Source organism: Homo sapiens, chromosome 9 (assembly GCF_000001405.40).
Source record: "Homo sapiens chromosome 9, GRCh38.p14 Primary Assembly".
In the NCBI taxonomy this organism is placed as follows: Eukaryota; Metazoa; Chordata; class Mammalia; order Primates; family Hominidae; genus Homo; species Homo sapiens.
This window is the reverse complement of record NC_000009.12, coordinates 130,405,834-130,418,386: the sequence shown is the minus strand read 5'-3', so window position 1 is coordinate 130,418,386 and position 12,553 is coordinate 130,405,834. Positions and strand designations below refer to the sequence as shown.

At 50.3% G+C, this 12,553-nt stretch overlaps 1 protein-coding gene across 7 annotated transcripts in view; it reads right to left on the bottom strand.

The window, feature by feature from the left end:
• Nucleotides 1-12,553, bottom strand: part of HMCN2 (hemicentin 2) — a 168,364-nt gene that overhangs the window by 15,737 nt on the left and 140,074 nt on the right. For all 7 annotated transcript variants that reach the window (NM_001291815.2, XM_011518466.3, XM_011518465.3 and 4 more), the window contains 4 exons: nucleotides 12,219-12,432; nucleotides 10,682-10,816; nucleotides 9,454-9,644; nucleotides 7,735-7,816 (listed from right to left, as the gene is read on the bottom strand). In NM_001291815.2, coding sequence (NP_001278744.1) covers nucleotides 7,735-7,816; nucleotides 9,454-9,644; nucleotides 10,682-10,816; nucleotides 12,219-12,432 — 622 coding nt within the window. The remainder of the gene's footprint in view (nucleotides 1-7,734; nucleotides 7,817-9,453; nucleotides 9,645-10,681; nucleotides 10,817-12,218; nucleotides 12,433-12,553) is intronic.

The window sequence follows — 12,553 nt, the reverse complement described above, 5'->3', positions numbered from 1 at the left end:
GTTTCGTCATATTGGCCAGGTTGGTCTTGAACTCCTGACCTCAAGTGATCCACCCGCCTCAGTCTCCCAAAGTGCTGGGGTTACAGGCATGAGCCACCACGCCCGGCCATCTGCTTTTATTTTTCCTCTGCAATAGATCGTAACTACCTTTCCATGCAGTTACATATCTGTTGTTAGTGGCTAGGTAGTCTTCTATTGCCTGACTGTATTGGGATTGGCTAAATGAAGCCTCTCCTATAGGACAGTTAGACTGCTTCCAATGAAGTGGGGGGCCATCTGTCAGAACTGCCTCTAGTTGATGCCAATGAAATGGGCAAACTCGTGCTCTGTCACCTACTGTGGGTGGCTCTCACCAAGTCACTCCCTGACCCTCAGTGTTCCCATCTGAAATATGGGGATGATGCTTCCTGTCCACTTACTATTATAGACCCTCCTGGAAGGCTAGTATGGAAAGGATGGGAAAGGCCCAGTGCTGGTGAGGCTGCGGAACAAGCAGAACTCGCACACACTGAGGTGGAAATGCAACGTGCTTCAGCCAAGGTGGGGCGCTGTGTGCCTGTGTGTTCGCTTCCTGCAGATGCTGCAGCAAGCTGCAGAAACACAGGAGAAACTGTGGAGGCCAGGAGGCCCACATTAGCCTCACTGGGCCAAAGTTAAGGTGCCCTGCTTCCTCCAGAGGTTCTGGGGGAGAGCCCATTCCTCACCTCTTCCAGCTTCTGCCCCACCAGCATTCCTTAGCCTGAGGCTGCAACAATCCATCCTCTGCCTCTGTCTCCACTTTACCTTCTCTTCTCTCTCTCTCTCCCCTGCCACACCACCCCAGCTCTCTGTCTCTCTCGTTTTTTTTTGTTTTTTTTTTTTTTTTGAGACGGAGTCTCACTCTGTTACCTAGGCTGGAGTGCAGTGGTACGATCTCAGCTCACTGCAACCTCTGCCTCCCGGCTTCAAGTGATTCTCCTGCCTCAGCCTCCTGAGTAGCTGGGATTACAGGTGTGTGCCACCACGCCTGGCTAATTTTTGTATTTTTGGTAGAGACGGGGTTTTGCCATATTGATCATGCTGGTCTCAAACTCCCGACCTCTGGTGATCCACTCTCCTCGGCCTCCCAAAGTGCTAGGATTATAGTCATGAGCGACCATGTCCGGCCCCGGCTCTCTTTTATAACAATACTTGCAGCTGGGTATGGTGGTTCATGCCTGTAACCCTAGCACTTTGGGAGGCTGAGGTGGGTGGATTGCTTGAACCTAGGAATTTGAGAAGAGCCTGGCCAACATGGTGAAACCCTATTTCTACTAAAAAATACAAAAATTAGCCAGGTGTGGTGGTCTGTGCCTGTAATCCCAGCTACTTGAGAGGCTGACACAGGAGAATTGCTTGAACCTGGGAGGCAGAGGTTACAGTAGCCGAGATTGCGCCACTGCACTCCAGCCTGGGCAACAGAGTGAGAATCCATCTCTAAATAAATAAATAAATAAATAAAACACTTGTGATAGCATTTAGGGGCCTCCGAGATAATGTGCTCACTTTAAGATCCTTAACTTAATTACATTTGCAAAGATTCCTTTTCCAAGTAAGGAAACATTCACAGGCCCTGGGGACTAGGACCTGGACATATCTTTGGAGGCCATTCATCAGATACTACCACAGCCAGTGTGTCCTAAAGTGGAACACATGTGTACTGTGAGACCTAGCGCTTCTGCTCCTGGACGAATACCCCAGCACAGGTGTGTGTGCGTGTTCACTGGAGGGCGTGCGTAAGGTCACAGCAGCCCTGTTCTTAACCGCCCATCACTGGAAACTAACCTAGAGTGGAATACATGAATAAACTGTGGTACATCCATGTAGCAGAAAAACACACAGCAATGAGAACCAATAAACTAATTCCACGTGAACAATATGGACGAATGCCACAAATTATGATGTGCAAAAGAAGAGTCTACGCAAGAGCACGTGTGGGGTGATTCCACTTAAATGAAGGTCGAGGCCAGGCGCAGTGACTCACGCCTGTAAGCCCAACACTTTGGGAGGCCGAGGCGGGTGGATCACCTTAAGTCAGGAGTTTGAGACCAGCCGGGCCAACATGGTGAAACCCTGTCTCAACTAAAATTACAAAAATTAGCTGGACAAGGTGGTGGGTGCCTGTAATCCCAGCTATTTGGGAGGCTGAGGCAGGAGAATCTCTTGAACCTGGGAGGTGGAGGTTGCAGTGAGCCGAGATCGCGCCACTGCACTCCAGCCTGGGTGACAGAGTGAGACTCTGTCTCCAAAAAAAAAAAAAAAAAAAAATAAAGCCTCTAGAACTTTGGATAAGAACAGTGGAAGCCTTTGGCCCTCCTGCCTGGGGCTGTGCCCATCCCTACCCCACCGTGACCATCACAGTGGTTTTATTAGGGATGGCTGTGAAAAACAGCAGCTTTTGCCACCCCTGGGGGCTGCCTTGATGTGCAGTAGAGGATGAAAGTATGCCCTGAGAAATATCATCAGGAAAAGGGGCAAAACTGGTAGGAGCCAAAAGGGAAATGGCTGCTGTGCTGGCCTGCGGCATGGCCCTGGCTGAGAAGAGCAGGGACCCAGCCAGCAACTGAACGGCGAGAACCTGGAAATGAAGGAGCCACGGACAGGCTGGATTGGCTCCCCACAATCCCTGGCCATCGTGGGAAATATGCACCTGTGCAGGGGAGACCTGAGGGGTACAAAGGACAGTAAACCGAGGCCAACTTGAAAACTGCCTGAACTTCAAATTACTCCACAGCCACGTTTTGCTGAGATTTTCTGTTTTTTTCACTTGTTTCAAGCATGTTGACAACTGCTCACAGAAGCATCCCTGTCAGCTAGCCTGGGCAACATAGCAAGACCCCATCTCTACAAAAAATAAATAAAGTAGCCGGGCATGGTGGTATGCACCTGCAGTCCCAGCTACTTGGGAGGCTGAGAAGTGGGAGGATTGCTTGAGCCCAGGAGGTCAAGGCTGCAGTGAGCTGTGATTGTGCCATTGCACTCCAGTCTGGGTGACAGAGCAAGACCCCATCAAAAAATAAAAAGGAAATCCTTACCAGATGACTCAAACATCTGTGCTATCTCAGTTGGTGTCTGTTGAGTATCAGTTCTCATTCAAGCTGAGATTTTTCCTTGTTCCTGGTATGATAAGTGAGTTTCAGTATGATAAGATTTGGGCTCTTATTTAAATCTTCCATCTTAGCAGACCTGGAACACTGCCAGGGGAAGGAGGTGCCACTCACTTCTGCTAGATGAGAGTGGAAGTCCGGGTTCCCCACGTGGCCTCCATGGACACCCGGGAACAGGGAGGGTGCCTCATTATTGCTGGGGATCGGTGGGAGTTGGCGCTTCAAGTGGGGCTCTGCTGGCACCATCCTGGCTGGGAGGGAGAGGGGCACTGCTTATTGCTCCCCACTCGGCCTGTGTAGGCGAGGGGCTTCCCACTCAGTGGTGACAGTGGTGACAGTTCAGTCTTGGTCAGGCACAGTGGTTCATGCCTGTAATCCCACCACTTTGGGAGGCTGAGGCAGGTGGATCATTTGAGCCCAGGAGTTTGAGACTGGCTTAGGCAACATAAGGAGACCCTGTCTCTACAAAAAATAAATACATAAAAATAAAAATTAGCCGGGTGTGGTGGCACGTGCCTGCAGTCCCAGCTACTTGGGAGGCTGAGATGGGATGATCACCCGAGCCCAGGCTGCAGTGAGCCCTGATCATGTCACTGCACTCCAGCCTGGGCAACAGAGTCAGACCTTGTCTTAAAAAAAAAAAAAAAAGTCCTTATCAGATTACCTGATATCTGTACTATCTCAGTAGGCATCTGTTGTCTGCTTTCATTGAGATTTTCCTTGTTCCTGGTGTGTAAGTTGAGCTTTTCCTTGTTCCTGGTGTGTAAGTGAGTTTCAGTATTGTAAGACTCGGATTTTTATTTAAATCTTCCGTTTTTGGCAGAGCTATAAAACTGCCAAGAAAAAGTGGTGCCACTCACTTCCGCCAGGTCAGCGTGGAAGCCCAGGTTCCCTATGAGGCTTCCATGGTCAGCCCGGAACAGGGAGGGGTGCCTCATTACTGCTGAGCATGGGTGGATGGGTGGAGGCACGCCCACACCGGGCCTCTGCTGGCACTACCCTCGCTGCCCACCTGGCCACACGGGGGAGGAGCTTCCCACTCAGTAGATGACAGTGGTGACAATTCTGTCTCCTCATTAGGTGTCACCTGACAGCATCCTGCTCCAGTGTGGGGAGAGCAGTGCCTCGGTACAGGGGCGAGGGTGGAAGTTAGAGGCTCCCAGTTGGTGTGATGATGGGGCAGGGGTGTTTTTCATGGTGTTTGCCTCCCAAGTAGCTGGGATTACAGGTGTGCGCCACCATGCCCAGCTATTTTTTTTTTTTTTTTTTTGTATTTTTGGTAGAGATGGGGTTTCACCATATTGCCCAGGATGATATCAAATTCCTGAGCTCAAGCGATCTGGCTGCCTCAGTCTCCCAAAGTGCTGGGATTACAGACACGAGCCACCACACCCAGTTAGGGGTTGTTATTTACAAGTTTTCTTTCTTACTATGCTGTCCCTTTCCTAGTCCTTTGCAAGAGAGGACAGGCTCTCGTTGAGGTGCACATGCCCCCGTGTGTGTGTGTGCGTGTGTGTGCGCACGTGCACATGCGTGTGTCTGAGCCCACTGGTGGTTCCAGGTTGTTGGCTTCTCAAGTATGCGGCCCAGGATATAAGGGACAAAAAGAAACACCAGGGCATTCACCACCATGCTGCTCCTCAGGTCCCAAGATCGGTAGTCTATCCTCCTTCTTTTCTCTACTTTTCAGAGGCTCTTTATGTTTGCTTCTATATAAAGTCCAAGGTGTTTAGCTGTCCTTAGCAAGAGAAATAGGGAGAAGTGCATCTATACCATCTTGTCTGGACCACAAACCTATTCCATGCATGACAAAAACTCTCAACACACTAGGTACAAAAGGGGAACTTCCTCAGCCTGAGAAAGGGCATCCACAAAAACTCACAGCTAACATCACGCCCCATGGTGAGAGACTGACTGCTTTCCACCTAAACCAGGGAACCAGGCAAGGATGGCTGCTCTCGCTGCTTCAACTGTGTACCAGAGGGTCCAACCAAGGCAATAAGGCAAAGCAAAAAACTTCAAGGTACGCAGATTTGAAAGAAAGATAGTCAAACTGTCCCTATTCATAGATGATATGATATCAATTCAACTGTATCTCTACATATTAGCAATTACAAATCCAAAAATCAAAGAAAACAATTCCACCCAAAATAGCATCAACAATAATAAAAAGACTTAAAATCAATTTAACAAAAATATAAGACCAGTACATTCAAAACTACAAAACATCACTGAAAGAAATTCAAGATCAACATAAATGGTACTGGAACAATTGGCTATCCGTATGCAAAAAAGGAAGTTAGACCCTTACCCCACACAAAGATTAACTCAAAATGGATCACTGACCTAAATGTGAGAACTAAAACTACAAAAATCGTATAAGAAAATGTAGGGCCCAGTGGCTCCTGCCTGTAATCCGCACTTTAGGAGGCCGAGGCAGGTGGATTGCTTGAGGCCAGGAGTTCGAGACCAGCCTGGGCAACACGACGAAACCTCGTCTCTACTAAAATTACAAAAATTAGTCGGGTGTGGTGGTGCGTGCCTGTAATCCCAGCTACTTGGGAGGCTGAGGCACAAGGATTGCTTGAACCTTGGAGGTGGAAGTTGCAGTGAGCTGAGATCTTGCCACTGCACTCCAGCCTTGGCACCAGAGTGAGACTCTGTCCCAAAAATATTAAAACAAAAAAAAAAAAAGAGAAAGAAAGAAAAGAAAAGAAAAGAAAAAGACGACCTTAGATTAGGCAAAGATTTTTAAAAGGTGTAACCCCAAATACATGATTCAAAAAATACACAATGGATAAATTTGGACTTCACCAAATTTTAACACTTTTGCTCTTCAAAGTCACCATTAAGAAAATGCAAAGACAAGCCACAGACTGGGAGAAATATTTGCAAATCATGTATCTGATAAAGGGCTATATCCATGCTATGTAAAGAACTCTAGAAACTCACTAGTAAAATAAACAACTCCATTTAAGAATGAGCACAAGCCCTGGGTGCAGTGGCTCACTCCTGTAATCCCAGCACTTTGGGGGGCCAAGGCAGGTGGATCACCTGAGGTCAGAAGTTCAAGAGCAGCCTGGCCAACATGGTGAAACCCCGTTTCTACTAAAAATACAAAAATTAGCCGGGTGTGGTGGCGTGCGCCTATAATCCCAGCCACTCAGGAGGCTGAGGCAGGAGAAACGCCTGAACCCGGGAGGCGGAGGTTGCAGTGAGCAGAGATGGCACCACTGCACTCCAGCCTGAGCAACAGAGCCAGACCCTGTCTCAAAAAATATTAGTAACAATAATAGTTGTAAAAAAAATACATTACATAAAATTTATCATTGAACCATTTGTAAGTGTACACTTCAGTAGTGTTGAGTATTTGACATTGTACAATCTCCAGAACTTTTTTCTCTTGCTAAACTGAAACTCCGGACTCATTAAATTCTAACTCCCCCTTCTCCCCTCCCTGCAGCCCCTGGCAAGCTCCATACTACTTTGGGTCTCTATGCTTTTGGCCACTCTAGGCCCCTCATATAAACAGAATCATACAGTGTTTGTTTCTTTGTGACCGGCTTTTTCCACTTCGCATAATGACCTCAAGGTTCATCTATGTTGTAGCCTGTGTCAGAATTGCATTGCATTCCTTTTGTTCTTTTTTTTTTTTTTTTTTTTGAGATTGAGTCTTGCCTGTCAACCAGGCTGGAGTGCGATGGCACGATCTTGGCTCACTGCAACCTCTGCCTCCTGGGTTCAAGTGATTTTCCTGCCTCAGCCTCCTGAATGACTGGGATTACAGGCGTGCCACCACGCCCAGCTAATTTTTGTATTTTTAGTAGAGACAGGGTTTCACTATGCTGGTCAGGCTGTTCTTGAACTCCAGACCCCAGGTGATCCACCCGCCTTGGCCTCCCAAAGTGCTGGGATTACAGCTGTGAGTCACCGAGCCCAGCCCTAGAATTTCCTTCCTTTTTAAGGTTAAATAATATTGCATTGCATGAACGGGTGAATTTTATGGTATGCAAATTATAACTCAATAAAGTTTGTTGTTTTTTTTTTTAAAGAGGCAGAATCCAGGACAGTGATTATTGGGGCAGGGGGCAGTAAGCAGAGGTGGGCATGCTGGAGGCTGGGAGCCGGCACTGTCCTATTTCTTTGATCTGGTTGCTGGTTAACTGGGTGGGTTCGCATTGTAAAAATTCATGAGCTCTGCACTTAGGATCCTGGCTCTTCTCCACAGGTGTTCATCTTCAATAAAACATTTTCTACAGAATCCCTATTGAGACAACTTCACAGTGTTATTCTGAGGCTCAAACAGCGCCTGGTAAACTACGAGCTGCTTGGCACATGCGAGAGCTGTCGCGGTGATCTTGACGGCTGGTCTGAGTTTTAAATGCCCAGCTCCCCCAGGCCCAGGTTGCCAGGTTTTCTTTAGCTCAGTCCTGAGTCTCAGTCACCCCACATTTGGGAAACATTTGGTAGGATTCAGTGTGTGTTCCAAGTAAGTATTAATGAAAGAATTCCAAGTCCCAGCCCTGCCGTCTGCCCTCTAGGCTGCACACGCCACCGCTGTCCCCGAGCACACTTCCCACGTCCCCACTCTGCTGAGGCCGAGACTCACTCTGCAGGACGAGGATCACCACTTTCTTCGCCACGCCCATCTCATTCTCTGCCAGGCACTGGTACCGTCCCGCATCGTCCCTCTGCAAGTGGGCACAGGAGAGGAGGCATGGTGCTCAGAGAAGAAGATGAGTGGCTCAGACAGTTGGGTAGGGGACTGAGGGCAGCCAGCCAGCAAGGGGCTTAGGCTGTGAACCAGCCAGGGGCACCTGATCCCCCGCAGAGCATCAGAAGGGCCTCTGTGACCACTTGTCAGCAGACATGCAAAGAGAATCCAGCCCCTTTTCACACCCGAAAACAGGGGGCTGTGACTACGGTCCTTGTTGCCTTAGGTGGAACAACTTGCTGGAAAAGCATGGTGTAGATCCACCTCTTCCAAACTGTGTACGTTGAAATCTTACTGTCCCATGGCACATTATTTGAGACTCCTTGGAGAACAGGGTTCCATGGTCAAGTAAGTTTGGGAGACATTGAGTTGACAACATGTTATGGTACTTTGGAAATCAATAACTATAGGAAAACAAGAACATGAGACACCTCTGTTGTATGAACAGGATGGCAGTCTGAACTGCAGGACCTCTCAGGGCATTTATTGTGCCAGTGTGCAAAGTGAGTCTTCCAGAAGGGAGATCGTTTGCAGCGTTTCCCTAACAGGTGACCCATGGATATGTGATGGAACTCAGGTGGCGCGCTGGCTCACATCACTTCTGAGTGGCAGCGCCACCATCAGATGGGCCTGGGGCAGCCTGAGGCCACGTCCACTCCCAGAAGATGGTATCTGGGGGGCCACACCCAAGGGACTGGGGGGGATAGCATGGCACAAAGTTAAGAGTGTAGGTTTGGAGGTCAGACCAACATGGGACTGAATCCCAGCCCCACTGCTTACTGCCCTCAGCCCATTACTTAGGACATTTTCATGCCTCTGGAGCCTCAGTTACCCCTTCTGTAAAATGGGAGTGATAACTGCTAGGATCTTATAAGCATCACATGGAATAATGCTTGCTAAGTGCAAGGCCCCGTGCCTGGCCCACAGTTAGTACTTGGGTAACAGGAGCCATTATTACCACTGCTCTTACTACTGCTCTTATTACTAGTCCTATTATCATTACTACCCAGAGAAAGGCTCCCAAATGGGTGAGATCAAGGCCCCTAAGATGAACTTGAGTCAGGACTGACTTGGGGATTTCTGCACAATCACCAGAACTTGAGACACAAAAGGGAAGTTGAGAGGGGCTGCCCCAGGGCCCAAGGCTTTGGAAACAGCACGGGGCCTGAGGCAGGAGACCTGGGGGTGGGGGCGCTGCCTCCTGCACTTATTGGTTGTGGGCCTCTCTGAACTTCAGTGTCTTCGTCTGTAAATAGGGAGCACTATTACCTGCCTACCCTACCCCCTGAGGTTGTTAATAACAACATTTTGGAGGCATTACCCACAGATCACTCTTAAATAATGGGTATGAGACATCTCACTGATTTCTAATTACAATCCTATGAGGTAGAACTAATTCGCTCCATTGAATGGGTGGATGACGGAGGAATGGAAAAGCCCAGTTGGCTGGAGGTCAATATTGGTGGTAGTGGGAGGATATCTGAGGAATGGGCAGGGAGGTGCTTTGTACACTGCAGAAGCAGAGGGGGCAATAGGAAGAACCCTCTTGAACAATCTGAAAAAGCGTAGAGTTGTCCTCAGTGGCCCCACCCAAGGTGCCAGGCCCCGCCTTGCCTCAGTCCTGCGGATGGTCAGCGAGCCATTCTGCAGCTGGTGCCGGAGGTGGCTGCCCCGCAGTGGAAGGCCATCTTTGATCCAGTGGATGTCCGGCACTGGGTCTCCACGCACCACACAGTCTAGCTGAATGCTGCCTCCTACAGGTTCCACCAGGTAGGAGAAAGCCTCCCCTTGTAGGACAGGAGCCTCTGCATGGGGTGACATCGAGCAAGTTGTCAGAAAAGAGGTTGCCTGCTGGCTCAGCCTCCCATAAACCCCAAAGGACTGCCCAACTCCTGCCTCCAGGGGCCTCCAGAGGCTTCTGCTAGCACAGCATGGTTGTGTTTAGTCAGTGCATCAGGGACAGCAAACAGTGTTCATGTCATGGGTCAAGTCACAAAGACTGGCAAAGACTTTCCAAGAACTGTGCTGAGAAGCATTTGAAGCTGAATGAGAATGGTGCTGTGATTGATTAGTGATGCCTGAGATGGGCACAGGCAGGAAGGCAGTGTTACGCGTGTCATATACTCTCTTTCACAGATGGATTACACTAGCAGCGGAGTACCTGCCAGGTACTTTGGAAATCAATAACTATAAAAAAACAAGAACCCTAGACACCTCTGTTGTACAAAGCAACGCTATGAGATTCATGCTAATCTCAAAACACTCTTCGATGCTCTGGACTGGCTTATATCCTTCCTGGTTTCCTGAGGTTGGATCTACCAAAAGCTGCAGTTCTCTTTTGGTGCCTGGGGCTGTTCATTCCCCCCATCCAGCCCCACCCATCCTGAGGTTGTGCAAACTAAGACACGTTGTCACCGAGGGCTCCTGTGCTACTCCTGGTGGATGAGTAGGTCATAGGGGACAACTGGCTGGCTGGCAAGCTTCTGGCATTTTTCTGCCAGGATGCCCTGGCCTCCATGCTCTCCTCCAACCCTGGCACCATCCAGCTGCAGGTAGTGCTGTAGGGCAATTGGTCAGATTCCAATTCTACCTGCAGCCAGGGTCGTCTTGGGAGTGTCAAAAATACCGATGCCTAGGCCTCACCCCAGAGAGGCTGGTTTACAGAGTTGGAAGTAGAACTTGGACTTCAGAATTTAAAGTCCCCCAGGGGATTCTAACATGCAGCCAGGGTGGGGAACCACTAGTTCAGAGGACAGGAGGCTGGGTTCTTAGGAAACCAATAGATTGGGTCCCAATAGACTGGAGGTCTTGAGAGAGAAGCCACCTGGGGAATGTGCCCTACCCTTCACGTGGACGAAGCTGACCGCCTGCGTGCGGCCCACTCTGTTCTCCGCCCAGCAGACATAGGTCCCGCTGTCTTCTCTGGAGACAGCGGCCCGCTGCAGCGTGCTGCCTCCATCCTGCTCAGACACCCCTTCTGTGGTGGAGAAAGAGAAGTCGGGTGCAGGGAACTCCTGCCCTAAACACTTCCCTGGTGCCTGGGTACCTGCAGGAACTTAATAAAAATGCAGAAACAGATGGGAGTCCCGGGTGAAGGTTGATCAAATCAGACACGTTCCTGGGAGGCACAGGCCACACTGGAGGCTGCGGTTAATGAACCTGCCTTCTACCATCTTCCAGTGCACACTGTGTGTTTGATAAACGGTCAAGGGCAGGTTTTTGGGGGCCTCTCAGCACAGGACACTTACTGAAACACTGCCATGATTTCTAGAGAGAAGGTTTCTTTTTTTTTTTTCTTTGAGACAGTTTCACTCTTGTTGCCCAGGCTGGAGTGCAATGACGCAATCTCAGCTCATTGCAACCTCCACCTCCCAGGTTCAACCGATTCTCCTACCTTAGCCTCCCATGTAGCTGGGATTACAGGCATGTGCCACCACGCTCAGCTAATTGTGTATTTTTAGTAGAGATGGGGTTTCACCATGTTGGCCAGGCTGGTCTCGAACTCCTGACCTCAGGTGATCCACCTGCCTTGGCCTCCCAAAGTGCTGGGATTACAGGCGTGAGCCACCGCGCCCAGCCGAGAGAAGGATTCTAATAATGAACTTTTCCTTTGGGGTGGGCCATCACCTCTAGGAGAGGAATACAGACAAGCAGTACCATCAATTGGGCATCTACTCCGGGCCAGGCCTGTGCCGAGCACGGCCCCTCCATTGTCATTCTGTCCTCAGGACCCCTGGTTATGTCCATTTGACAGATGGAGAGCGGCGCTCAGACAGGCTGAACTATTATACCTGCCCAAGGTCCCTCCCCAGGAAGTGGTGGAGCCGAGCAAAGCCTTCACCACAGGTGAGCACGGGTATTCCACACCTGGGGACTCAGAGTTAGGAATGTGTGATGTCATATCCTAATGTAGGAAAGTATCATTTTGCAGTGGAGGGGACTTAGCAATTTATCAATTCAGCAAACATTGAGTACCCAGCAGGTACTCCACAGGCCCTGTGTCTCCCTAGACATCACCTGGGTTTCCGGTAGGAGGACAGAGTCCCCACGGGCCCCCAGCAAAAGGGGTTTGCTGAGGGTCCCACAATGGGAGCAGCAGCTCTGGACTAGAACACAGGCCTCCCCTTCCTGGCCCTGAGGTCTCTGGGTTGAGTCTTCTCAGGTGGCCTCTTGCCAGCTCTGATATATGGCTTGTCACATATGGCCACAGCTGGGTTTGCCCTGTCCCCCTACATAGGGCCACGTTGGAAGACCCAGAACCAACAGGGCTGGCTGACAACCTCTTCCTTTCCACTAGGTTGGGTCTCCCCACCTGCCCTCCCTTCTTAACCTCCCGGTGTCCTGGCTCTCTGTCCCACCCATGCCCAGCAGACCCAGACCTGTGACTGGCCGGTCGTTGACAGTCCAGCCAATGCGAGGGGTGGGGCTGCCCCGGGCTGCACAGCGAAGCCACAGCCTGTCCCCAAGGCGCAGGCTGCGGTCCCCAGGCAGGGTGGTGAACACAGGCAGTACCAGGATGGTGAGGTGCACGCGGCGGCGGGCCCGGCCCACGGCGTTCTCAGCGGTACAGGTATAGGTGCCTGCGTCCTGGCCCTGTGAGCAAAGAAAGGGGTTGGCCGGAGAACTGCCCCACCTCGGCATAGGTCAGGATGCCCCTGACCCTTGAAGGTTCTCATGGAGCATCCAGCCCAGAGAGGGGAAGTGACTTGCCCAA